At 45.5% G+C, this 25583-nt stretch overlaps 1 protein-coding gene across 2 annotated transcripts in view, besides 3 other annotated features; it reads right to left on the bottom strand.

Moving 5' to 3' along the window:
* The window catches only part of DLGAP2 (DLG associated protein 2), a 970849-nt gene that overhangs the window by 909129 nt on the left and 36137 nt on the right, over positions 1–25583 (bottom strand). The window lies entirely within an intron of this gene.
* Positions 5284–5819: an enhancer, noted in NCBI's record as "H3K27ac-H3K4me1 hESC enhancer chr8:743529-744064 (GRCh37/hg19 assembly coordinates)". NCBI's record gives its function as "activates a minimal SCP1, AML or CMV promoter by ChIP-STARR-seq in naive H9 embryonic stem cells {active_cell/tissue: H9 hESC(naive)}" and the evidence as "EXISTENCE:reporter gene assay evidence [ECO:0000049][PMID:30033119]".
* Positions 12950–13107: a silencer, noted in NCBI's record as "fragment chr8:736241-736398 (GRCh37/hg19 assembly coordinates)". NCBI's record gives its function as "represses an EF-1alpha promoter that drives an FKBP-Casp9 reporter gene in an ReSE screen in phorbol 12-myristate 13-acetate-treated (for megakaryocytic differentiation) K562 erythroleukemia cells {active_cell/tissue: K562(+PMA)}" and the evidence as "EXISTENCE:reporter gene assay evidence [ECO:0000049][PMID:32094911]".
* Positions 20258–20822: an enhancer, noted in NCBI's record as "H3K27ac-H3K4me1 hESC enhancer chr8:728526-729090 (GRCh37/hg19 assembly coordinates)". NCBI's record gives its function as "activates a minimal SCP1, AML or CMV promoter by ChIP-STARR-seq in naive H9 embryonic stem cells {active_cell/tissue: H9 hESC(naive)}" and the evidence as "EXISTENCE:reporter gene assay evidence [ECO:0000049][PMID:30033119]".

Below are 25583 nucleotides of genomic sequence, written 5' to 3'. Positions count from 1 at the left end.
CACACTCCCTCCTCTGCCCACGAGACAAGCGCAACTGTAAACAAAGCCTCTGCCAGTGAAACTGTAAGTGCCTGGGCATGACCACTCAGAAAACAGAGCTGTGACGGTGCTGACGAGGGAAGGAGCCCGAGAAAGGAGCCCAGGCTGAGCTGAAACCCAGAGAGAAGGCCTGGGGTGTCGGCCTCCCAAAGACACTCGGATTCTTAGGGAGAAAACTGGCTTCATCCAAAAGAAGTCACAGCTGGTGTGAGCATGTGGGGTGAGAGGCAGTGAGGGAGGGCACAGGACCGACAGAGTCTCTTAATCCCAACATGTGTCATACTGTCCCCAGCGACCTGAAATCCTAGGTCAGGACATGCACACACACAAAAACACTCCAAGATTCTAAGGAAAATATCAAGTGGGAAGGCTCTCAACAAGCGTTTACTTTCAGTGCCAACGGAAGCAGGCACCCGTCACCTGGCTGGCGCCGGGACACGGGGCTGCAGGTCCTGACTCAACAAGCGTTTGCTTTCAGCGCCAACGGAAGCAGGCACCCATCACCTGGCCAGCACCAGGGCACGGGGCTGCAGGTCCTGACTCAACAAGCGTTTGCTTTCAGTGCCAACAGAAGCAGGCACCCATCACCTGGCCAGCGCCGGGGCACGGGGCTGCAGGTCCTGACGCAACAAGCATTTGCTTTCAGTGCCAACGGAAGCAGGCACCCATCACCTGGCCAGCACCGGGGCACGGGGCTGCAGGTCCTGACTCAACAAGCGTTTGCTTTCAGTGCCAACAGAAGCAGGCACCCATCACCTGGCCAGCGCCGGGGCACGGGGCTGCAGGTCCTGACGCAACAAGCGTTTGCTTTCAGTGCCAACGGAAGCAGGCACCCATCACCTGGTCAGCGCCGGGGCACGGGGCTGCAGGTTCTGAATCAACAAGCGTTTGCTTTCAGTGCCAACGGAAGCAGGCACCCGTCACCTGGCCAGCACCGGGGCACGGGGCTGCAGGTCCTGACTCAACAAGCGTTTGCTTTCAGTGCCAACGGAAGCAGGCACCCCTCACCTGGCCAGCGCCGGGGCACGGGGCTGCAGGTCCTGAATCAACAAGAGTTTGCTTTCAGTGCCAATGGAAGCAGGCACCCATCACCTGGCCAGTGCCAGGGCACAGGGCTGCAGGTCCTGAGCACCACGGGGAGTGCCAGGACAGAGAACCAGCCCCTTTGCAGATCTTTCAGCTGACAGACAAGAAACTGATGCAAACAGCCTGGTGAAGATGCAACAGGGGCCTCGGGAGCAGTTAAAGTACAAAAGACTGGCCAGGCGTGGTGGCTCACGCCTGTAATCCCAGCACTTTGGGAGGCCGAGGTGGGCGTATCACGACATCAGGAGTTCGAGACCAGCCTGGCCAACATGATGAAACCCCATCTCTACTAAAAATATAAAAAATTAGCCAGGTGTGGTGGCAGGCGCCTGTAATCCCAGCTACTCAGGAGGCTGAAGCAGGAGAATTGCTTGAACCTGGGAGGCGGAGGTTGCAGTGAGCAGAGATCACACCCCTGCACTCCAGCCTGGGCAATAAGAGTGAAACTCCATCTCAAAAAAATAAATAAAATAAAATAAAACAAAACACAAAAGACTGACACCAGCAAGTGCTGATGAGGACCCGGAGAGCCAGGAGCTCCCAGCCCTGCCTGGTGGGAGTATGAGGCAGTGCAGCCATCAATGAGGGCTGTGTGCCAAGTTCTCCAAAAGTTACAACATCTCACATTGACATCTATGGCCAGCAGTTCCTCTCCTAGCATTTACCCAAGAGAAATGAAAACAAATGTCTATGGAAAGACTTCAACAGAAATAGTCATAGCAGCCTCATTCACAACAGCCTCAAATTCCCAACAGCCAGGAGTCCATCCAGAGAATGGAAAGGCGAAATGTGGCACATTCTTCAGCAGAAGATTGATCATCAACAATAGGAAAGAAACTATTGATACATGCACCAACATGAATAAATCTCAAAAACGCTACATTGAGTGAAATAAGCAAAGTCAAAAAAATACATACTCTATGAATCCATTTTTTTAAGAGTAGGAAAAATATTCTACAGTGATAGAAGCAGCAAGTGAGAGCCCCTGGGGACGGTGGGTGGGCGATCTTCCAGGAACGGGCACACAGGACTTTCGGAGATGACGGGACGTCTTCTTCTTGGGTGGTGACTACAGGGTCGTGTTCAATTGTCAAAACTCATGGAACTCACTTAATACCTGTTCATTTTATTGCATAAAAGTTACTCCTTAATAAAAGTTTAAAAAACAAGAAAGTAATATTGACTCTGCCAATGGAAATACATTTTAAGTACAAGATACTATCTGCAAACAGGGTTAAAAGTTTGCAAGTTGGGGAAGGCTTGTCGTTTGATCCTATGCAAAAGTGATCCTTGACTTGTGTTTTGAAAGATAAGTAGGTGTTTGCTGAGCAAAAAGGGTGGGGTGAAGGGGGCTGCACTAAGGGAAAGGAAGGTGGCCCCAGGAGGCTGGAACACAGAAGCCACCTGGCTGTCATGGTGCCAGTGGAGATGTAGCTGCAGAAACAGCTGGCATGTTATAGTGCGGGCATGGGGCCATGAAGGCGTCATACACCACAAAGTCACAACTACACACTAGAGGTCCAGCCAGCAGGGGAGTTTAAATAGGGAAGCAGCACAGCAGGCTTGTGTGTCTGAAAAAGCATTCCAGCAGGGACAGGAGGGACGCACTGCTAGGCTCTGAGGCTGCAGAGGAGGAATCCACTCAGACCAAGGAAGGCCAGTAAGCACCTGAGCAAAGGGAGTGGCATGGGGAGGAGAGGCAGGGAGAGAACAGAGCAGGCCACACCCTCTGCCCCTCCCCACCCAAACCTCCAGATGTTACCAAGATTTTACAGAACAGCATCAAACATCAGGAAAGCATCCAGGCAGTCGCAGGGAAATCCTGAGGGTACCGTGAAAGGCAGAAGTCAGTTCGGAGTCTCGGAGGGGCCGTGACAGAAGAATTCTCCCAGGAGCGAGTGGCCAGATGACAAGCTCAGAGCAGGGACACAAAGTCCAAGCGGGATCCCGGGACCAGAGTCAGCTCATCACCGGGGAGCCCGGTCGTGAATTCACCTGCTTGCTAAACTCTACCTGGAACCCCCAAAGCTGTGCTCACACTGGACACCTGTTCTCACTGGACACCTGCTCTCACTGGACGCCTGCTCTCACTGGACAGCTGCTCTCACTGGACAGCTGCTCTCACTGGACGCCTGCTCTCACTGGACGCCTGCTCTCACTGGACAGCTGCTCTCACTGGACGCCTGCTCTCACTGGATGCCTGCTCTCACTGGACGCCTGCTCTCACTGGACAGCTGCTCTCACTGGACGCCTGCTCTCACTGGACGCCTGCTCTCACTGGACGCCTGCTCTCACTGGACGCCTGTTCTCACTGGACAGCTGCTCTCACTGGACGCCTGCTCTCACTGGACGCCTGCTCTCACTGGACGCCTGCTCTCACCGGACAGCTGCTCTCACCGGACGCCTGCTCTCACCGGACGCCTGTTCTCACCGGACGCCTGCTCTCACTGGACGCCTGCTCTCACTGGACGCCTGTTCTCACTGGACGCCTGCTCTCACTGGACGCCTGCTCTCACTGGACGCCTGCTCTCACTGGACGCCTGTTCTCACTGGACACCTGCTCTCACTGGACGCCTGCTCTCACTGGACGCCTGCTCTCACTGGACACCTGCTCCATGACGGACCTGTGAGTCTCCGATGCACAATTTTCCACTGCAGTTGAAAGGGCAACATGCGGCCTTATGTCAGTGCACACTGCACACATCTGTCCTTTGCATGCTTTATTTGGTCCAGATTTGGTGCATTTTCATGCTTTTTGTGGGTGATTTCACTGTTTAAAATGGCCCCAAGCTTGGTGCTGAGGTGCTGTCTAGACAGTCTAAGTGCAAGGCTGTGACATGCCCTACAGAGAAAACACGTGTTAGAGAAGCTTCGCCCAAGCTCGAGCCATGGGCTGTCAGCTCTGAGTTCAGCACTGATGAGTCAGCAGTAGATATTAAATCAGGTGTCTAAGCAGAAACACAAATAAAACAAGGTTATGCACTGATTGATTGACAAAATTGCCCTGGCTAGAGGCTTGCAGGAACCTGTGTTTCTTCAGGAGCAAGGGTTCAGTGTTCACGGTGACTTCACAGAACGTAACTGCTGTTAATAACGAAAACCCACTGGAGCCAGATGGTTACTTGAGAAAATGCAGTCAGGTATCTAAACAGTGTTCTGTGGTCCGTATGCCAAGTCACTGGCAATATTAACTTTTCTCTCCCAAACTAAATGGAGGACCTCAAAACAGGGAAGTCCCTATCAGGTAAGGTCACCTGGAGGGATGGACAAGCCACACGCATAACACAAATGGCAGCTCATCCCAACCTCACTCACGCCACCAGGGACCCCGTCCTGCAGCTAGAAATACCCGCCACCCACAGGCCAGCAAACAGTTCATCCCAACCTCACTCAGGTCACCAGGGACCCCATCCTGCAGCTAGAAACACCGTTCACCCACAGGCCAGCTGTTGGGAGCAGGCCCCCAAAAATCTGGCCATAAACTGGCCCCAAAACTGGCCATAAACAAAATCTCTACAGCACTGTAACATATTCATAATGGCCCTAATGCCCAAGCTGGAAGGTTGTGGGTTTACAGGAATGCGGGCAAGGAACACCTGGCCTGCCCAGGGTAGAAAACCACTTAAAGGCATTCCTAAGCCACAAACAATAACATGAGTGATCTGTGCTTTAAAGACATGCTCCTGCTGCAGTTAACTAGCCCAACCTATTCCTTTAATTCAGCCCACCCCTTCATTTCTCATAAGGGAGACTTTTAGTTAATATCTATAGAAACAATGCTAATGACTGGTTTGCTGTTAATAAATATGCAGGTAAATCTCTGTTTGGGGCTCTCAGCTCTGAAGGCTGTGAGAACCCTGATTTCCCACCTCACACCTCTATATTTCTGTGTGTGTGTCTTTAATTCCTCTAGCACCACTGGGTTAGGGTCTCCCCGACCGAGCTGGTCTCAACAGCCAGCAAACAGCTCATCCCGACCTCACTCACACCACCAGGGACCCCATTCTGCAGCTAGAAACACGCCCCACCCACAGGCCAGCAAACAGCTCATCCCAACCTCACTCATATGGTTGTAATAGATGTAGTTTATCTAATCTACAACACCACAAGGGACCCTGTCCTGCAGCTAGAAACACTCCCTACGCACAGGCCGGCAAACAGCTCATCCCAACCTCACTCACGCCACCAGGGACCCCATCCTGCAGCTAGAAACACCCCCCACCCACAGGCCAAAAGGATTTCAGAGACAAAGACAAGCAGATGCCTGGAGTCGTATGGCAGGCGAAGAAAACCCACAATAGAGGGAGAGCCCCCAGCTCAGCCAGCAGGAAACAAAGCTGAGAAGCCGTAACAGGTTAAACCAGCATGGCCACAGGAAGTGCAAGGAAGATGTTGTCCTTGGTTCTGTAAAACAAAATAATAGAGGTGTTGGAAATCAAAAATACATCCAACATGATGAAGCAGAAAACAGCCTGGGCACACAGGAGAACACAGAAGAGAAAGTCTGTGAGCTGTGGACTCCGTCAGGGAAATCTATAAGGAAATTGCACAAAATGCAAAGATTAGACAAATTCACATGTCCAGAGATGTGAAGAACAAGTCCAGGAAGTCTCAGAAGAGGAGTTTCAGAGGAGAAGGAGTAAAAGAAAGAAATAATAGAAGAAAAATTTCCAAAACTGAAGGAAGAGAAGCCACCAGATCTTGAAAGAGCCATAAAGACCCAGCAGCGTGGTGCGGGGAAGCCAAGCAAACCAGCCCAGACTATGGCAGCCCAAGGAGAGCACAGCTCTGTGAAATTCCACAGCAAAATGGGTAAAATCATCAGGGCGAGGGGAGGAGGAAAGAGATTTATTGACAAAGAAAGACAACAGGATTAGAATTAGACTTTTCACTAACCATACTGACTGGTAGAAGGCAGCGGTTTTAAAGGAAAATCATTTTGAATTGAGATTCCAATGCTCCGTAAAATTAGATTTTATGTGGGAATAAACATATTTTTAGACATTCAAGGATTCTAAGAGCTTTCCCACCCACAGATGTGAACAAAGAGACTCTCTAGAAGATAGACATCAGCCAAATGAAAAGCGAATAAAAATTAACAAGGAAGGCATGGGAGAAGAGCCAGCGGCAAGAAGAAAGGAGGGCTGATAGTAAAATACAGCTAAGGGAAATGACTGCTGATGCGTAACAAAGTCAACTAATAATCTTCTGAAACTAAAGCTCACATCATCTCAGCATGGGGAAGGGTGGGGAAGACAACTCCTTGTTGTTAAGGTAAAAGGTGCTGATAGAAAAGCACAATAGAAATGCGTGGGAAGTGAAAACACACTCAGCCCCATAAACAAAAATGAGAAAACTTTCAATAAATAGAAGCAAGTAGAATCCAACACTGTATTAAAATAATACATAACTACACAATGAAAAGATGGTTCAGTATTAAAACGGTTATTATTTCATTCAAAACTTACAAAATGGGGGAACTCCTATCAGACAGATACCAAATAAGCATTTGATAAAACCTAACACCATTCCTATTTTTATAAATAACTTTCTAACTAAGATCAATCCATTTTTATTCTGACACAGAGATACAAACAATGTTGGTATTGTGTTGCATTTTCTGAGCGAATGAACCTTCTACTTCACGTTCCTGTAAAATACGATTAAGGGGAAACTTCTTTAATTTGATAAAAGGTAATTTACCTTAACTCTGACAAACATTCATGCAATGATGAAACATTAGAACCGTTTTTATTATGGTGAAACATGAAAGGACATCCAGGATCAATTTTAGTATTCAGCACTGTGCTATAAGTCCTAAAATGTGAAATAAGACAAAAACTAGGAGTATAAATATTAGGAAGGGAAAAATAAAATTAGCACTTACTCATAATTTATCCACTTAGAAAATCCTGGGTTGTCATTTGACAACCAATTAGAAATCCTTCAGTAAGAAAAATAATACAATGCCACGATTTTAAAATGGGCAAAGAATATGGAAAGGTGATTTATGAAATAATAAGTGGTGATTACATAAATATTAATATCTAATAAAATTATGTCAGCTTGTTCAGCCTCTCTAGAACTCTTGGAATTTAATTAAAACCATATTATAATCATTCTTCATCAAAGTAGAAAACATGAAAGGCTGATAAAATTCACATTGGTAAATGCAGTGTCTATCAACATCGTACAGGTACATCCAGCAACTCAGCAAATCCAACTACTTGCTTAACGCAGTGACAGCTGCACCGTGATTATGTAACAGACATCCCCATTCTTAGGAAACACATGCGACGTCGTTAGGGGTTAACTCCAATGGGGTGTGCAACTTACTGTCTTATGGCTCAGAAAACAGTGCATGTGTGTGGAGAGGGAACAGGAGAGCGAGCGTGCGTGAGCTCAAGCAACAAGAAAACACCAGCAAAAGTGAATAAGGGGGAGGCATAACGGGTTCTCTCTGCTGTGCTTTTCTTGAAGTCTTCCTGAAGTGTGAAATTACTCCCAAATAAAAAAGTTTTTTAAAGGAATTTTAAAATTAATCAACTTTATGTGCATATATCAAAACAAAGATTTGGCATATTACATCAAAAAAATTCACAGCACACGGTGCACATCATAATTATTTATGTTAGAATCGAAATGTGGGCATTTAAATGTATAGTCATATTATACAGTATGCTTTGTTTCATATACACCTATTGAGACACCAGAGACTTATTAGATCCAGTTACAAGTGGGGAGGATAGGAATTTGAAGGGTGAAAAGAAATTCAGTATTCAACTCTGAATATCTACAATATTTTTTAGAACATTTAAAAACATATCCCTGTTTAAATTGTTTTCTCCTGATAACACTGGGGCATGGAGGAGGGAAGATGAGAACCCGGAACAGCCTGGGCTTCTCTGTGGAGGGAGCCACTGGCAGTGACACAATTCCCAGAAATGGGAAGTGAGGTTCATTCACTCAGAAAACATGGTGGAACCCCACTGGTAATCAAATATCTGTGGCAGGATTAGGGCTGATTATTAATTTATTCCTTTTACTTTCTAAAGCTTTCCAAATTTTCTGCAATGTGCTTGCATTATTTTTAAAATTCGGGGAAAAATTAAGCAAATAAGAAAAACAATTACAAATCCAATTTTCACAATGACAAAGAATGACTCAAAAATGCATGTTGGTCCGGGCGTGGTGGCTCATGCCTGTGATCCCTGCACTTTGGGAGGCTGAGGCGGGTGCATCATTTGAAGTCAGGGGTTCTAGACCACCTTGGGCAACATGGTGAAACCTCATCTCTACAAAGCACAAAATTAGTCAGGCATGGTGGCGTGCACCTGTAGTCCCAGCTACTCAGGAGGCTGAGGCAGGAGGATCACTTGAGCCCAGGAGTTCGAGGTTGCAGTGAGTTATGATCACACCACTGTACTCCAGCCTGGGCAACAGAAAGAAACCCTGTTTCAAAAACACACACACAAAAAAAATCTTTTCACATGAAGGTGAAAATGAGAAATAGCCGATGGATTTATCTCCCCTAAAATGAAAGAGAGAAACCAGGAAATGAAATACGGAGTTCTTGTCAGCATAGACCAAATATTATTAAATATTATTTTACTGAAATACAAAGTCCATTCAGATTTTACACTGGGACCAGGAAACATCTACCAGCTAAGCCAACTACTCACACCTTTCTCCAGGTTTCTCTCCCCATGCTGGTCTTGCTACATTCTGATCTCTATGCTAAGCATTTATAAGGTAACTCCTATAGATGAAAACCACAGCAAAGTATGAGAAATACATTTTCTCACACTTGCGGCCAGAAAATGGGAAACAAACTTGAGATACATAGACCCAACAAATATCTTTTCATTTTGGTTACGTCATCTCCAAGCATCTCTTACAGCTTCACCTGTCTCTGCACCCTGCACAGCCCAGGCAAACCCTTCTATTATTTCCCTTGAAATGCATGGTGCTTGTCCAGCCTCTACAACATCCCCTGCCTCAAGCCTCCTTTACCCCTTTTCTGTTCCTGTCAAAATCCTCCTCATTCTCCAAATCCCTGATGAGATCCAAACTCCTCCCCTGTGAGCTTCCAAGGTGACCTTTTCTCCTCAAATTCTTACTTTCTCCACTGGCTCTGGCTCTGGGGAGTGTAGAACAGGAGCCAAGATGTATTTCACACGCACTGCACTGACGTCGTCCGTCCCATGACTGAATTACCACTGCCATCCTGGGAGGCGGCATCATCTCCCCACTTTCCACAGGACAAAACAGAGATCAGAAACCTTAAGCACAGTGGGTCAGGGGTGCAGCTAAGATTCTGACTTCCTGGCTTCATGTCTCCAGCTGCTTTGATCATTACACAGGGCAATACCACTTGTCCAGGTCCACACTAACCTGAGAGAGAGAAACAATCCTCTTTCACAGGCCAGGTCTCTAAACTGCATTGCCGGCTTTGCCAAGCAGGGCCTGTGTTTGATTTAACTTTGGGTACAGCAGACGCCGTCCAAAGGACTGGAATGCATTGGAGTTACAGTAAGTGTCTGCTGACAGTGTGATAGCTTCCACTTTGGGGGCTATCTAGAATATATACTAGTATGTTACCCAAAAAGAATAAGAATTACCTAACTGAAAATTTAAGTAGCCATCATCCAGAGTCAGTTTTCTGCAAAAGACAATTCATATGGTTTGGCTCTGTGTCTCCACCCAAATCTCACGTCAAATTGTGATCCCCAGTGTCGGAAGAGGGGCCTGGTGGGGGGTAACTGGATCACAGGGGTGGATTTCCCCTTGCTGTTCTTGTGATAGTGAGTGAGTTCTCAGAAGAGCTGGTAGTTTAAAAGTGTGTAGCACCTCCCCCTTCACTCTCTTCCTCCTGCTCCGGCCATGCGGGATATGCCTACTTCCCCTTCGCCTTCCGCCATGGTTGTAAGTTTCCTGAGGCCTCCCAGCCATGCTTCCCGCAAATCCTGAGGAACCGTGAGCCAATTAAACCTCCTTTCTTCATAAATTGCCCAGTTTCACCTATTTCTTTATAGCAGAGTGAGAAAGAACTAATACAACATGGTAACGGGAACAGAAGGACAAGCTCTAGACAGGGAGAAAATATTTGCAAATCACACCTCTGACTGTGTTTTGTGTCCAAAGTACATAAAGAACTCTCGAAACTCAACAGGAAGAAAAGCATGTTTTTAAAAACCGGCAAAACCTTGAACAGTCACTTCCCCACAGAAGAGAGACGGGTGGCAAATAGGGTTCCTGCTGGCTCTGGTGTTGACGGTTGAGGGCACAGGAACCATCTGTGCTTCCCACTTGAGGCTAAAGGTGTCTCACCAGGAAAACGCTGCATCACCAGCAGTGGAAGCATAACAAAAGCCCATGGGAAAAAGTCACAAAGATGCATTAACCTTTCGATAAAGTAGAACAGAACCCACCACGACCCAGTGAAAATAAGTGACTTCTGCTGTATTTCTTTGCTATCAGTATCACCCCACTTCTTAAAAGAAATCTGATTAAAACACTGCCCCCAGGAAGGAGGACAGAACAGCACTGACTTCTGCCCGCTCTGGGCTTCTTCTCGCAAAACCAAACTTCACTTTTTTCCAAGCTGAGATACTTCACCTTAAGAAAAAATATTTATGTTATCAAAGGTGTAGGTTATTTGTAAATGGCTACTATCTTATCTAAGGGTAAAATATAATCACAAGCTCCCTGGACACTACCTGGGATGGTGCCAAACTTGCAGGGAAGCCCCAAAGGCTGAGGCTTCTGCTGACCAGACCACGTGGACACAGACGCCAAGGCCTCAACTAGACCACGTGGACACGGATGCCAAGGCCACAACCAGAGCATGTGGACACAGATGCCGAGGCCTCGACCAGACCATGTGAACACAGATGCCAAGGCCTCGACTGAATGCTGCTATCTCGACCAGACCACATGGGTATGGATATCGATGCCCCAGAAACAGCCATTTGGCTACAGAATAACAACAGGACGCTGTGTGAGAAAATACAGGATCAGATTCATGATTTGGGAGCGACGTACCAGCTTCATCCTTCACCCATCTTCTACCACACTTCATCACCAAACAGCATGCTTGTCATGACACAGGATCTCCTGGTGGGGGGAGACCCAACATAGCTGCCATGGGAGGGATCCAGTGCCATCGCTGTGCCTTTGCAAGGGCAGACCCCTGTGGCCACCATGCTGCTGTCCTACTGCCTAGAATCCTGAGCCACAGAGCATCCTGGCTTGGAGGTGGACAGGGACGCCAGACCTGGAATGCCACCATACGTGAGCAAGGTGGTTTTAATCAATTTGGTGAAAATTAGAGGAACAGCCTCTCGTCACCCCTCATCCCTCACCTCACAGCAGCCCCAAGTGCTGAGCGAGCCCAAACCCAGGCCTCAAGCCCCAACAGCACCACCAGTGTAGAGGCACTGTGCAAATACACTCCAGGAAGATGAACTTTTGGGTGTGACCATTCCGATGTAGGCTGAGACAGCCCCCAGGGTGATCTGGGATGCTGAGAAAGCCATTTGGCAAGGGGGCCCGGAGCAAGACAAGGCCAAGGGGGGAAGAGGCCACCGGCTGGTGGAACCTGACTCCGGGCGCTGCCAGCTTCCACCCAACACTGCTGACCTCACCAAGTAAGGCTGCAGGGGAGACAGAGCAGCATGGGCCAGTGCCCCCTGCACATCCTGAGTGGTCCATGGAATGACCCCATCACAGGACCATCCTTCCTTCAAAACAGGCACAGGCGTGGAGAAGGGCGCTCTCTTTGGAGAAGCGGAGAGAAGTTAGAAGATATTTTTTAGAGGCCACCCTTCCTCGGCTTGCAACGAGCATGGCTAACCAGGGGTATATGATTGCTACAACATGGGAAGGAGGGTCCTCAGCATCACAGAACGTCAGTATCACCATCGACAGGCAAATGTGAGAGAACAGACGCGTCAGGCTCTGCCATAGTTACTAACGTTCGAACACGAGCGATTGAGACAGGAAAGACATACAGCAGTCTTCAAAGGAAGGACCAGCTGAGGCTGGGTGAAGATTCATCAAGTTGGATAAATGAATGAGGGGTAGGGAGGTTTGCTAAGTGAAGGAAAATTGAATAAAGCATCGTCAGTTTACCTAGAATAATATTCCAAGTTCTGTGGCTTCTTTAATAACAAAACTAAATGAAGAAAGGAAAGCCAAAAGAAAAAGAAAGAGAAAGGTCTTGTTCCTGGTTAGAATCTGACAGGACCAAACCTGCCTTCTGCCTTCACCTGAAAGAGCTCAAAGGACAGAAGTGTTTTGAGGCATCTCATCTTAGAGGTTCTAGGTGAGCTGAAGGCTCTTTCAAATCACCAGGTAACCCCTCCAAGAAGCCACGTTCACAGGTCTCACTGAGACGCTGTTAAAAAAAAAAAACGGAAGACAAGGTTCATGATGCTTCCAACTCATACCATTTGTAAAAGTTTAAATGGTGCAGGCATCACTCGGAGGCAGTTGCTAACAGGGAAACTCTCCCTTCTCAGCCACCCCACCCCTCCCAGCCAGCAGCGAGGCCCCTCCCCGGAGGTCTCTGCAGGCACCACCGAGGCAGCGCCCGTCTCTCCCGAAGAGCCGCTGGTTCCTGGGTCTCTGAGGGAACTGTGCGTAGTGCGCTCAGGGCCACTCACCTCTCTGTGGCCGCGCAGTGCCTTTGTGTACAGCAAGGCTGCTTCAAGCTTTTTACACTTATGTGGGGGTGGGAAGAAAACGCTTTCAAAACTTGCTGCCGTTTCTAAGTTCTCTGCTGGCCCTTCCCTCTCGGTCATTCTTTTGAGAATCGACGAAAATGGTGGCTGTCCCCGGAAGATGCAGGCATGAGAAGCACCACGCCAGTGTCTCGGCCGCGAGAAGTGGGAGCCCGGACCATGGCTCCTGGTGACCTCCGGGACCCAGCTCCATGGACCAACTGCACCCTCTCTGCAGGCTTTCGGAGGCGCCCCACACACCACTGGGCCCCATGAGCTACTGAGGAAACTGATGAGCCAGAGGCCGAGACTGAAGAGGGGCAAGGACGCCTGCCAGGACGGGCTTTTCCTGCCCCTGCGCCGGCCCAGCTGAGCTAAGCTCAGGCATGGGTGTTTCGCAAAGGGGCTTTGGTCCCGGTTACGGAGGCGGCGGGCAGCGAGCTCTGGTCTGGGCATTCCTGACGAAGCTCTCTGCAGAAAAGGCTCACAGCCCTCGGTGACGGTGACACATCACACCTCCACGGGGTACGTGATATCGCCTGGTGCTCCCGTTCCCTCATTCATTCATTCGGTCTCTGCAGCACCCGGGAGGGGCCCGGCAGGAGCCTGTACAGCGGGTGAGGGAGGAGGGAGGCCGGTCTCAGAGGGGCCTGAGGGGAGGAGGGAGGCCGGTCTCAGAGGAGCCTGAGGGGAGGAGGGAGGCCGGTCTCAGAGGGGCCTGAGGGGAGGAGGGAGGCCGGTCTCAGAGGGGCCTGAGGGGAGGAGGGAGGCCGGTCTCAGAGGGGCCTGAGGGGAGGAGGGAAGCCGGTCTCAGAGGGGCCTGAGGGGAGGAGGGAGGCCGGTCTCAGAGGGGCCTGAGGGGAGGAGGGAGGCCGGTCTCAGAGGGGTCTGAGGGGAGGAGGGAGGCCGGTCTCAGAGGGGCCTGAGGGGAGGGAGGCCGGTCTCAGAGAGACCTGAGGGGAGGAGGGAAGCCGGTCTCAGAAAGGCCTGAGGGGAGGAGGGAAGCTGGTCTCACAGGGGCTGAGGGGAGGAGGGAGGCCGGTCTCAGAGAGACCTGAGGGGAGGAGAGAAGCCGGTCTCAGAGAGACCTGAGGGGAGGAGAGAAGCCGGTCTCAGAGGGGCATGAGGTGCAGGGGCCCGGCCTGCCTCATGAGAGCTCCGCTTTCAGCCTGAGCCACATGGGAATCGCCCAGAGCTTTGGCTCAAGCATGGCAGGATCCGGCGCATCTGAAGTGTCAGGACGTGCCTTTTTTTTTTTTTTTTTTTTTTTTTTTTTTTGAGGCGGAGTCTCGCTCTGTCGCCCAGGCCAGGCCAAAATGCAGTGGCACGATCTCTGCTCACTGCAAACTCCGCCTCCCAGGTTCACCCCATTCTCCTGCCTCAGCCTCCCTAGTAGCTGGGACTACAGGCGCCTGCCACCACACCCGGCTAATGTTTTGTATTGTTTTGTATTTTTAGTAGAGAGGGGGTTTCACCATGTTAGCCAGGATGGTCTCGATCTCCTGACCTTGTGATCCGCCTGCCTCGGCCTCCCAAAGTGCTGGGATTACAGGCGTGAGCCACCGTGCCCAGCCAGGACGTGCCCTTTTTTTAGTGGCTGTAAAATAAGAAACTTTCTTCTCACACCTCCTGAGGTCAAGTTTACAAACTAGAAAAAGAACACTATAAAGATGCGGCTTATTGTACCTTTCCCATGTTAATTATGACACTGGGTCTTTTTCAAAAGGTGTACAGATGGCACTGGTCTTCACAGGCATGGGCCCGTGTGGTCTTTCCCGGATTTAGGAACACTGTATGGGGTCCACAGTCACACGTTCAGGTCCACATCTTAAATTCCTCCCCATGGAAAAGATCTTGATAGGGTACATTTGACATTCTGAGATAAAACTGTTATATCACCCTTTTAAACATATCAACTGTAATCTAACTAAATACCACAATCCACCATATCAACTTGATACCAGCCATTATCCATTCAAAGCACATATGAACACGTTAGTATTAAATGGCCTAAAATATTACAGTATTCATTTTTGTCCTTAAATTCTTATTTCCATTCCATCTCCTCCTACAGAACCATATCCTACTGTAACATATATTTAAGCTTAAAAGACGTTTTCCTCTCTTTTTCTGTCTATACCCACATGAACACACATTTCATGTGTATGCATATAAAAGCCAAAATACATTTTTAAATTTTCTGTGAGAAAGATTCTAGATGATAAAACTGTCTTCTTGACTAAACTATTGTTAGTTTTATAGGTGACCCTAAAATATAATTATAAATTTTGATGAACACTAAATATTACCATTAAAACTGAATTGGAAATACATCTCTTAATGAGATTTTTCCCAATTCACTAATATATTCATGGATAAATATTACTTTTTAGTGAAAGAAAGCTGGGTTCAGTGTCAATGACTTTTTTAATAGCTGTAAGATGCAAAACTTAGATTGCATTAATACCTGGATGGAACATAAGTGTGTTATTCTGGCGATGGCCCTCAAGCCTTGGAACTCCTTCAGAAATCACTGAGCACTTACCATTAACAATTACTCCTAAGAATTAGCCGATAACGCTATGATATCCTCTTTTAATTATGTTGAAAGCAAGAAATGGGAAACTAAAAATAAGTTTCGCCCATTGATTAGAGTCACTAACTTCACCAGCAGTGAGACAGATACCCCAAACTCTCCATTGTTCTGACACCCAAGGGCAACACTCCCTGCAAGATTCCGGATGTGGTGGGAGGGTACACCTTTTCCCTCTTTCATAAGAGGGGGAAGGGTGAGTTTGAGAACACAGTAGGCAAAGACGCAGAAGCATCACTCAGACACTTTCTCAGATTAGCAGACTGTAGGGAAAGGCACCCGTAAACCCTAAGATAAGAAATCAACTTCCTTAAAACCATCTCATATCACAGCCCCTATAAGAAACCTGATGTGCCACTGAACGGTGAGCACCATATTGTGAAGTCTGCTGTGCTAAGGTGAGGTCACAAAACAACATCCTTTTCACATCCAAATGCCCAGAAAACTATCTGTCTTTTGCACCTAGTGCAAACAGTCACAAGTGATACTTTCCCGTGTATGTAATATCATGAGATTCCTTTAAACCTGTAAAAACAAAAGACCAGAACCAAGACAGAAGAAAGAAATGTTACCATGCATTTTAATTTCCTTAACCTCCTTCTCTCCCTTAAACAAGTTTCCAAGGGAACAGAGTGCAGGCAAACCATTCTCTGTAGTATTTCTGAGCAATGAAGAGTGTTTGATTCTTACATTCCTCCTAAGCAGCGCAAAAAAGACACATGTATTAATATCTGGGATACTTCTTGAGGTAAGAAAGTTTTACAGTAGGAAAGGTTACAGACCTTGTGTTGGTCACATTATCTGTCATTGTGAGATGATGTCCTAGAAAAGGCAGAATCTTTGTTGTAACTTTAGTCAATTGCATCAGCTTTATGTTATCATGCGGTCATGCGGTCACTGGTTAATCTCACGAAGTGCTGCAGACACAGCCGTCCATCCTAATCCAGCTTTCCCGGGTCAGTCAGCACAGCCACGCACTGTTTCTGAGCCCTAACAGAGTATTGTGATTTGGGGGTTGGTTCTTCTTCTGTCACCTGACAACTGAGGACACAGCAGACGCGGAAGAGGGCCAACAGGGAGACGAGGTCTCAGTGAGTGGTATTTCTGCTTTTCAAGGCATTCTGAGGTAGGAATGGGATTGGCAGACAACAAACCCTCATGAATTAACTAGTTGTAAAGAAAGAGTGCAAAAGGGATGAGTAGAGAAAAACAGGTGATAAAATCAGTGTTCAGGGGTGGGGGCCCTCAACTGCCTTGACACATAAACTCTGCCTTCAGGTCTCTTCACATTGATTTGAATCTGCCATAGCAATAATTTAACCCCCATTTGCTTTTCAATTCTTACTATTTTGTCAATAATTAACATATTTCATCAAATATTGACATGTAGAGATTGGCAAATAATTGAGGATGGCTAAACTTAAAATACTGATCCACATGAAATGGCATGGAATATCTAACATTATAATATTTAGGTATTCATAATTGATGGCCTAGTGAGAGAGTATGTATTAATATAATATGTCATCAATTCCAGAGACAGTCTTAAGTTTTACATGATTTTTTTAAAAAAATCAAGCTAAAATTCTATCAAGATACTACCAGTTATTAGAGGTTATCTATGGAATTCTAATGAGTAGGACAATCCCCTCTCTTCTGTTTTTTTTTTAATTTTTTTTAAAGCTCTAACTTTTATACCTTTTTATTGAAACATAATAAATGTGCATATCTGGGAGGTGCACACAATAATTTGTTACATTCATATAATAAAATCAGGATAACTGGGATATCTTTCACCTCATTCATCTTTTCTTTATGCTAGAAACATTCAAATTTTTCTCTTCCAGGTATTTTGAAATGTACAATCAATTAATGTTAATGGTAGTCATCCTGCTGGTTGATTGAACACCAGGTTTTCTCTTTCCTTTTAACTGTACATTTCTACCCATTAATCAGCCTCTCTCCATCCCCCCAGCTCCCAGTTTTGAATAGCAGTGGTATTATCCTATCTCCTAAATGCACTCAACTTCTCCTTTTTCACAAAAGAAACAAAAAATTATAGCACAAACATTAGGTTATATAATTGTTGTTGCAAAAAAACTCTAACAAACCTATGTCAGGAAATGAAGTTGTAGTTCCCATAGCAACAATGACATGGGCCCTTAGACAAATTTTTCATGTGCTTTGTGTGACTCTAAGAAGTAAGTTCGTTCTTTAACAAGTCATTTAAATGTTCAGCCAAATCACCGTGTCACAACGAACTTCTTTGTCCTCTTGTGTTAATGGGCTCAGCGCTCCCCACCACCCCTGTAATCTGCAGTCATTCATAGGTTTAATGCGGTACTTGGGCAACACCCCACTTTTGAGAGGGCTGTCACACTAAAAGTTAATTACAGCAGTTAATCACAGTTGTAGCAAGTCTCAAAATGCTTTCATATTTGCATTCAGGTTTGCATTTTAAGCAATTAAAATAGCAACAAAAAAAAAATCCCTGAGGTCTTATCGATTATTTTCTGTGATGTTCCTAACCCTTCCATGAATAGCTTTAGGAATCAAACCTCATTATTAAGAAGTTCAAGAAATAGTAAGAAAAAACTTAACGTCATTTAAATAATAGAGAAAACATAAGCAAAAATTTTCAACACAAAGTTTTAACATCTGATGATGCTTATAAATTTGGCACTATCAGGTATACCATCCCGAGCAATATAGTCCTTACTAACAATAAGTATGAAGTTTTAATACAAAAAAAGACTACAAATTCTTAACAGATGCACGACTTACTCTTAAGGGAATAAAGATCAGTCAATAATAAAAACCAAAAAAAGGGGTTATCTATACATATTTTCATGCCTGGGCTGAAACAAAGCTACAAAATGCATTGAAAATCATAAGGTACTATACAACCTCATGGAGAGAAATGTAATTCATTGCCAGATGCTAGTTCCCTTGCACAAAACCCTAGCACAAGCAAATATATCTTGGTATACTTTTTTGATGTCCTCAATAATTGCTACTCTGGTACAGGGGGATTCCTTTGGATCCTTGGAAAAGGAATAAAAAGGGGGTGTGGGGAAGGCGGAAGGACCAAACCTGGCCACAGGGCACCAGCCTTTGGTGAGGCGGCAGGAACAGGTTTGGACATCTGCCAGACACGGCGACTCTGGTTAATGACAATGTGCTGTGAGTTTCCAAATTGCCACAAGAGCCTCCTGCCCTGCAGACTGAGCTAACCAGCATGTGACTAGAGCGGATATTTTCAAAAGGAGCAACGGTAAATGTGGCTGAGGATATGGGTGAAGGGGACTCACGTTCACCACTGACGGGAAGGTAAATTAGTGAAATGCTGTGGAAAACTGTGCAGAGCCTCCCTGAAAAACCAAAGTAGAGCTAGCACAAGACCCAGCAATCCCACTTCTGGGTGTGAGATCACTACGTTGAGATGTCTGTACCACTATGGTCACTGCACAGTCACTACTCACAATGGACAAGATATGGAATCAACCTACGTGTCTGTCAATGGATGAATAAGGAAAACGTGGTGTGTGCACAGTGGAATGCCAGTTGGCTTTAAAAGAAAAAGAAATCCTGTTATTAATGACAATGTGAATGAGCCTGGAAGACATTATGCTGAGTGAAAAAAGCCAGGCACATAAAGACAGATGCCTCATGATCTCACGGATATGTGGAATCTGAAAAAGTGAACCCCATGGAAACAGAGTAGAACAGTGAGGGCCAGGCTGGTAGGTGGGGTTGGCGGGGATGAGGAAAGGGCAGATGTAGGTCAAAGGGTACAAAGTTTAGACTAAGGCTTAGTGATCACTGCATTGCATGGCAAACACAGCTAATAATAATTCAAACATTTCAAAATCTCTAGAATAGAATTTTAATGTTTTCACTAAAAAGAAAAAATGGTAAGTTGGTGAGGTGACAGGTATGTCAGTTAGCTAGCTTGACTCTTTCCCCAGTGTATACATAGATCAAAACATCACACTGTACTCCATAAGTATACAGTGATTATTTGTCAATTTAAAATAAAATATAAATTTATAATTAAATTTTAAAAATAAAATATAAAAAAGGAATGCAGGCAAGACTGGAAGACTATGCAATGAACTCTGCAAATGACACAGAGAAATGTGGCCCTGCTACAGATATTCCCTGTTAGTGTCTGCTTGAGAGAAGGCAAAGATTTGGATGGCTAACAGTGGTAGAAGAAAGTTCTAGAAACCAGAAAACATTAAGTCACTACCACCTTCTCAGAAAATAATGCTATTAGGCTAGGCATGGTGGCTTATGCCTGTAATCCCCACACTTTGGGAGACTGAGGTGGGAAGATCACTTGAGCCCAGGAGGCAGACGCTGCAGTGAACTATGATGGCACCACTGCACTCCAGCCTGGGCGACAGAGCAAGACCCTGTCTGAAAAAAAAAAAAAAGAAAGAAAGAAGGGAAAAGAAAAGAAGAGAAAAGCATGCTCTGGACTGAACTGTGTTGAGCCCCCAGTGTAGGTGCATTTGGAATAAAGAAGTGATTCACAGGGGAGGAGCCAAGATGGCCGAATAGGAACAGCTCCAGTCTACAGCTCCCAGCATGAGCAAGGCAGAAGACGGGTGATTTCTGCATTTCCATCTGAGGTACCAGGTTCATCTCACTAGGGAGGGCCAGAGAGTGGGCACAGGTCAGTGGGTGCGCGCACCATGCGCGAGCCGAAGCAGGGCGAGGCATTGCCTCACTCGGGAAGCGCAAGGCGTCAGGGAGTTCCCTTTCCTAGTCAAAGAAAGGGGTGACGGACGGCACCTGGAAAATCGGGTCACTCCCACCCGCATACTGCGCTTTTCTGACGGGCTTGAAAAAAGGCACACCACAAGATTATATCCTGCACCTGGCTCAGAGGGTCCTACCCCACGGAGTCTCGCTGATTGCTAGCACAGCAGTCTGAGATCAAACTGCAAGGTGGCAGCGAGGCTGGGGGAGGGGCGCCCACCATTGCCCAGGCTTGCTTAGGTAAACAAAGCAGCCGGGAAGCTCGAACTGGGTGGAGCCCACCACAGCTCAAGGAGGCCTGCCTGCCTCTGTAGGCTCCACTTCTGGGGGCAGGGCACAAACAAACAAAAAGACAGCAGTAACCTCTGCAGACTTAAATGTCCCTGTCTGACAGCTTTGAAGAGAGCAGTGGTTCTCCCAGTACGCAGCTGGAGATCTGAGAAGGGGCAGACTGCCTCCTCAAGTGGGTGCCTGACCCCTGACCCCTGAGCAGCCTAACTGGGAGGCACCCCCCAACAGGGGTACACTGACACAGGGCAGGGTACTCCAAAAGACCTGCAGCTGAGGGTCCTGTCCGTTAGGAGGAAAACTAACAAACAGAAAGGACATCCACACTGAAAACCCATCTGTATATCACCATCATCAAAGACCAAAAGTAGATAAAACCACAAAGATGGGGAAAAAACAGAAGAGAAAAACTGGAAACTCTAAAAAGCAGAGCGCCTCTCCTCCTCCAACGGAACGCAGTTCCTCACCAGCAACGGAACAAAGCTGGACGGAGAATGACTTTGACGAGCTGAGAGAAGAAGGCTTCAGACGATCAAATTACTCTGAGCTACGAGAGGACACGCAAACCAAAGGTAAAGAAGTTGAAAACTTTGAAAAAAATTTAGAAGAATGTATAACTAGAATAACCAATACAGAGAAGTGCTTAAAGGAGCTGATGGAGCTGAAAACCAAGGCTCAAGAACTACGTGAAGAATGCAGAAGCCTCAGGAGCCGATGCGATCAACTGGAAGAAAGGGTATCAGCGGTGGAAGATGAAATGAAAGAAATGAAACGAGAAGGGAAGTTCAGAGAAGAATAAAAAGAAATGAGCAAAGCCTCCAAGAAATATGGGACTACGTGAAAAGACCAAATCTACGTCTGATTGGTGTACCTGAAAGTGATGGGGAGAATGGAACCAAGTTGGAAAACACTCTGCAGGATATTACTCAGGAGAACTTCCCCAATCTAGCAAGGCAGGCCGACGTTCAGATTCAGGAAACACAGAGACGCCACAAAGATACTCCTCGAGAAGAGCAACTCCAAGACACATAACTGTCAGATTCACCAAAGTCAAAACGAAGGAAAAAATGTTAAGGGCAGCCAGAGAGAAAGGTCGGGTTACCCTCAAAGGGAAGCCCATCAGACTAACAGCGGATCTCTCGGCAGAAACCCTACAAGCCAGAAGAGAGTGGGGGCCAATATTCAACATTCTCAAAGAAAAGAATTTTCAACCCAGAATTTCATATCCAGCCAAACTAAGCTTCCTAAGTGAAGGAGAAATAAAATACTTTACAGACAAGCAAATGCTGAGAGATTTTGTCACCACCAGGCCTGCCCTAAAAGAGCTCCTGAAGGAAGCGCTAAACATGGAAAGGAACAACTGGTACCAGCCACTGCAAAATCATGCCAAAATGTAAAGACCATCGAGACTAGGAAGAAACTGCATCAACTAACGAGCAAAATAAACAGCTAACATCATGATGACAGGATCAAATTCACACATAACAATATTAACTTTAAATGTAAATGGACTAAATGCTCCAATTAAAAGACACAGACTGGCAAATTGGATAAAGAGTCAAGACCCATCAGTGTGCTGTATTCAGGAAACCCATCTCACGTGCAGAGACACACATAGGCTCAAAATAAAAGGATGGAGGAAGATCTACCAAGCAAATGGAAAACAAAAAAAGGCAGGGGTTGCAATCCTAGTCTCTGATAAAGCAGACTTGAAACAAACAAAGATCAAAAGAGACAAAGAAGGCCATTACATAATGGTAAAGGGATCAATTCAACAAGAAGAGCTAACTATCCTAAATATATATGCACCCAATACAGGAGCACCAAGATTCATAAAGCAAGTCCTGAGTGACCTACAAAGAGACTTAGACTCCCACATATTAATAATGGGAGATTTTAACACCCCACTGTCAACATTAGACAGATCAACGAGACAGAAAGTCAACAAGGATACCCAGGAATTGAACTCAGCTCTGCAACAAGTGGACCTAATAGACATCTACAGAACTCTCCACCCCAAATCAACAGAATATACATTTTTTTCAGCACCACACCACACCTATTCCAAAACTGACCACATACTTGGAAGTAAAGCTCTCCTCAGCACATGTAAAAGAACAGAAATTATAAGAAACTATCTCTCAGACCACAGTGCAATCAAACTAGAAGTCAGGATTAAGAATCTCACTCAAAACCGCTCAGCTACATGGAAACTGAACAACCTGCTCCTGAAGGACTACTGGGTACATAACGAAATGAAGGCAGAAATAAAGATGTTCTTTGAAACCAAGAGAACAAAGACAAAACATACCAGAATCTCTGGGACGCATTCAAAGCAGTGTGTAGAGGTAAATTTATAGCACTAAATGCCCACAAGAGAAAGCAGGAAAGATCCAAAATTGACACCCTAACATCACAATTCAAAGAACTAGAAAAGCAAGAGCAAACACATTCAAAAGCTAGCAGAAGGCAAGAAATAACTAAAATCAGAGCAGAACTGAAGGAAATAGAGACACAAAAAACCCTTCAAAAAATTAATGAATCCAGGAGCTGGTTTCTTGAAAGGATCAACAAAATTGATAGACCGCTAGCAAGACTAATAAAGAAAAAAAGAGAGAAGAATCAAATAGACGCAATAAAAAATGATAAAGGGGATATCACCACCAATCCCACAGAAATACAAACTACCATCAGAGAATACTACAAACACCTCTATGCAAATAAACTAGAAAATCTAGAAGAAATGGATAAATTCCTCAACACATACACTCTCCCAAGACTAAACCAGGAAGAAGCTGAATCTCTGAATAGACCAATAACAGGATCTGAAATTGTGGCAATAATCAATAGCTTACCAACCAAAAAGAGTCCAGGACCAGACGGATTCACAGCCGAATTCTACCAGAGGTACAAGGAGGAACTGGTACCATTCCTTCTGAAACTATTCCAATCAATAGAAAAAGAGGGAATCCTCCCTAACTCATTTTATGAGGCCAGCATCATTCTGATACCAAAGCCTGGCAGAGACACAACCAAAAAAGAGAATTTTAGACCAATATCCTTGATGAACATTGATGCAAAAATCCTCAATAAAATACTGGCAAAACGAATCCAGCAGCACATCAAAAAGCTTATCCACCATGATCAAGTGGGCTTCATCCCTGGGATGCAAGGCTGGTTCAATATACGCAAATCAATAAATGTAATCCAGCATATAAACAGAACCAAAGACAAAAACCACATGATTATCTTAATAGATGCAGAAAAGGCCTTTGACAAAATTCAACAACGCTTCATGCTAAAAACTCTCAATAAATTAGGTATTGATGGGACGTATCTCAAAATAATAAGAGCTATCTATGACAAACCCACAGCCAATATCATACTGAATGGGCAAAAACTGGAAGCATTCCCTTTGAAAACTGGCACAAGACAGGGATGCCCTCTCTCACCACTCCTATTCAACACAGTGTTGGAAGTTCTGGCCAGGGCAATTAGGCAGGAGAAGGAAATAAAGGGTATTCAATTAGGAAAAGAGGAAGTCAAATTGTCCCTCTTTGCAGACGACATCATTGTATATCTAGAAAACCCCATTGTCTCAGCCCAAAATCTCCTTAAGCTGATAAGCAACTTCAGCAAAGTCTCAGGATACAAAATCAATGTACAAAAATCACAAGCATTCTTATACACCAATAACAGACAAACACAGAGCCAAATCATGAGTGAACTCCCATTCACAATTGCTTCAAAGAGAATAAAATACCTAGGAATCCAACTTACAAGGGACGAGAAGGACCTCTTCGAGGAGAACTACAAACCACTGCTCAAAGAAATAAAAGAGGATACAAACAAATGGAAGAACATTCCATGCTCATGGGTAGGAAGAATCAATATCGTGAAAATGGCCATACTGCCCAAGGTAATTTACAGATTCAATGCCATCCCCATCAAGCTACCAATGCCTTTCTTCACAGAATTGGAAAAAACTACTTTAAAGTTCATATGGAACCAAAAAAGAGCCCGCATCGCCAAGTCAATCCTAAGCCAAAAGAACAAAGCTGGAGGCATCACACTACCTGACTTCAAACTATACTACAAGGCTACAGTAACCAAAACAGCATGGTACTGCTACCAAAACAGAGATATAGATCAATGGAACAGAACAGAGCCCTCAGAAATAATGCCGCACATCTACAACTATCTGATCTTTGACAAACCTGAGAAAAACAAGCAATGGGGAAAGGATTCCCTATTTAATAAATGGTGCTGGGAAAACTGGCTAGCCATATGTAGAAAGCTGAAACTGGATCCCTTCCTTACACCTTATACAAAAATCAATTCAAGATGGATTAAAGACTTAAACGTTAGACCTAAAACCATAAAAACCCTAGAAGAAAACCTAGGCATTGCCATTCAGGACATAGGCATAGGCAAGGACTTCATGTCTAAAACGCCAAAAGCAATGGCAACAAAAGCCAAAATTGACAAATGGGATCTAATTAAACTAAAGAGCTTCTGCACAGCAAAAGAAACTACCATCAGAGTGAACAGGCAACTCACAAAATGGGAGAAAATTTTCGCAACCTACTCGTCTGACAAAGGGCTAATATCCAGAATCTACAATGAACTCAAACAAATTTACAAGAAAAAAACAAACAACCTCATCAAAAAGTAGGTGAAGGACATGAACAGACACTTCTCAAAAGAAGACATTTATGCAGCCAAAAAACACATGAAAAAATGCTCATCGTCACTGGCCATCAGAGAAATGCAAATCAAAACCACAATGAGACACCATCTCACACCAGTTAGAATGGCAATCATTAAAAAGTGAGGAAACAACAGGTGCTGGAGAGGATGTGGAGAAATAGGAACACTTTTACACTGTTAGTGGGACTGTAAACTAGTTCAACCATTGTGGAAGTCAGTGTGGCGATTCCTCTGGGATCTAGAACTAGAAATACCATTTGACCCAGCCATCCCATTACTGGGTATATACCCAAAGGACTATAAATCATGCTGCTATAAAGACACATGCACATGTATGTTTATTGTGGTATTATTCACAATAGCAAAGCCTTGGAACC

This window comes from Homo sapiens, chromosome 8 (assembly GCF_000001405.40).
Source record: "Homo sapiens chromosome 8, GRCh38.p14 Primary Assembly".
Lineage (NCBI taxonomy): Eukaryota > Metazoa > Chordata > Mammalia > Primates > Hominidae > Homo > Homo sapiens.
Note: the sequence above shows the minus strand (reverse complement) of the source record. Positions and strands in the feature narration are given on the sequence as shown.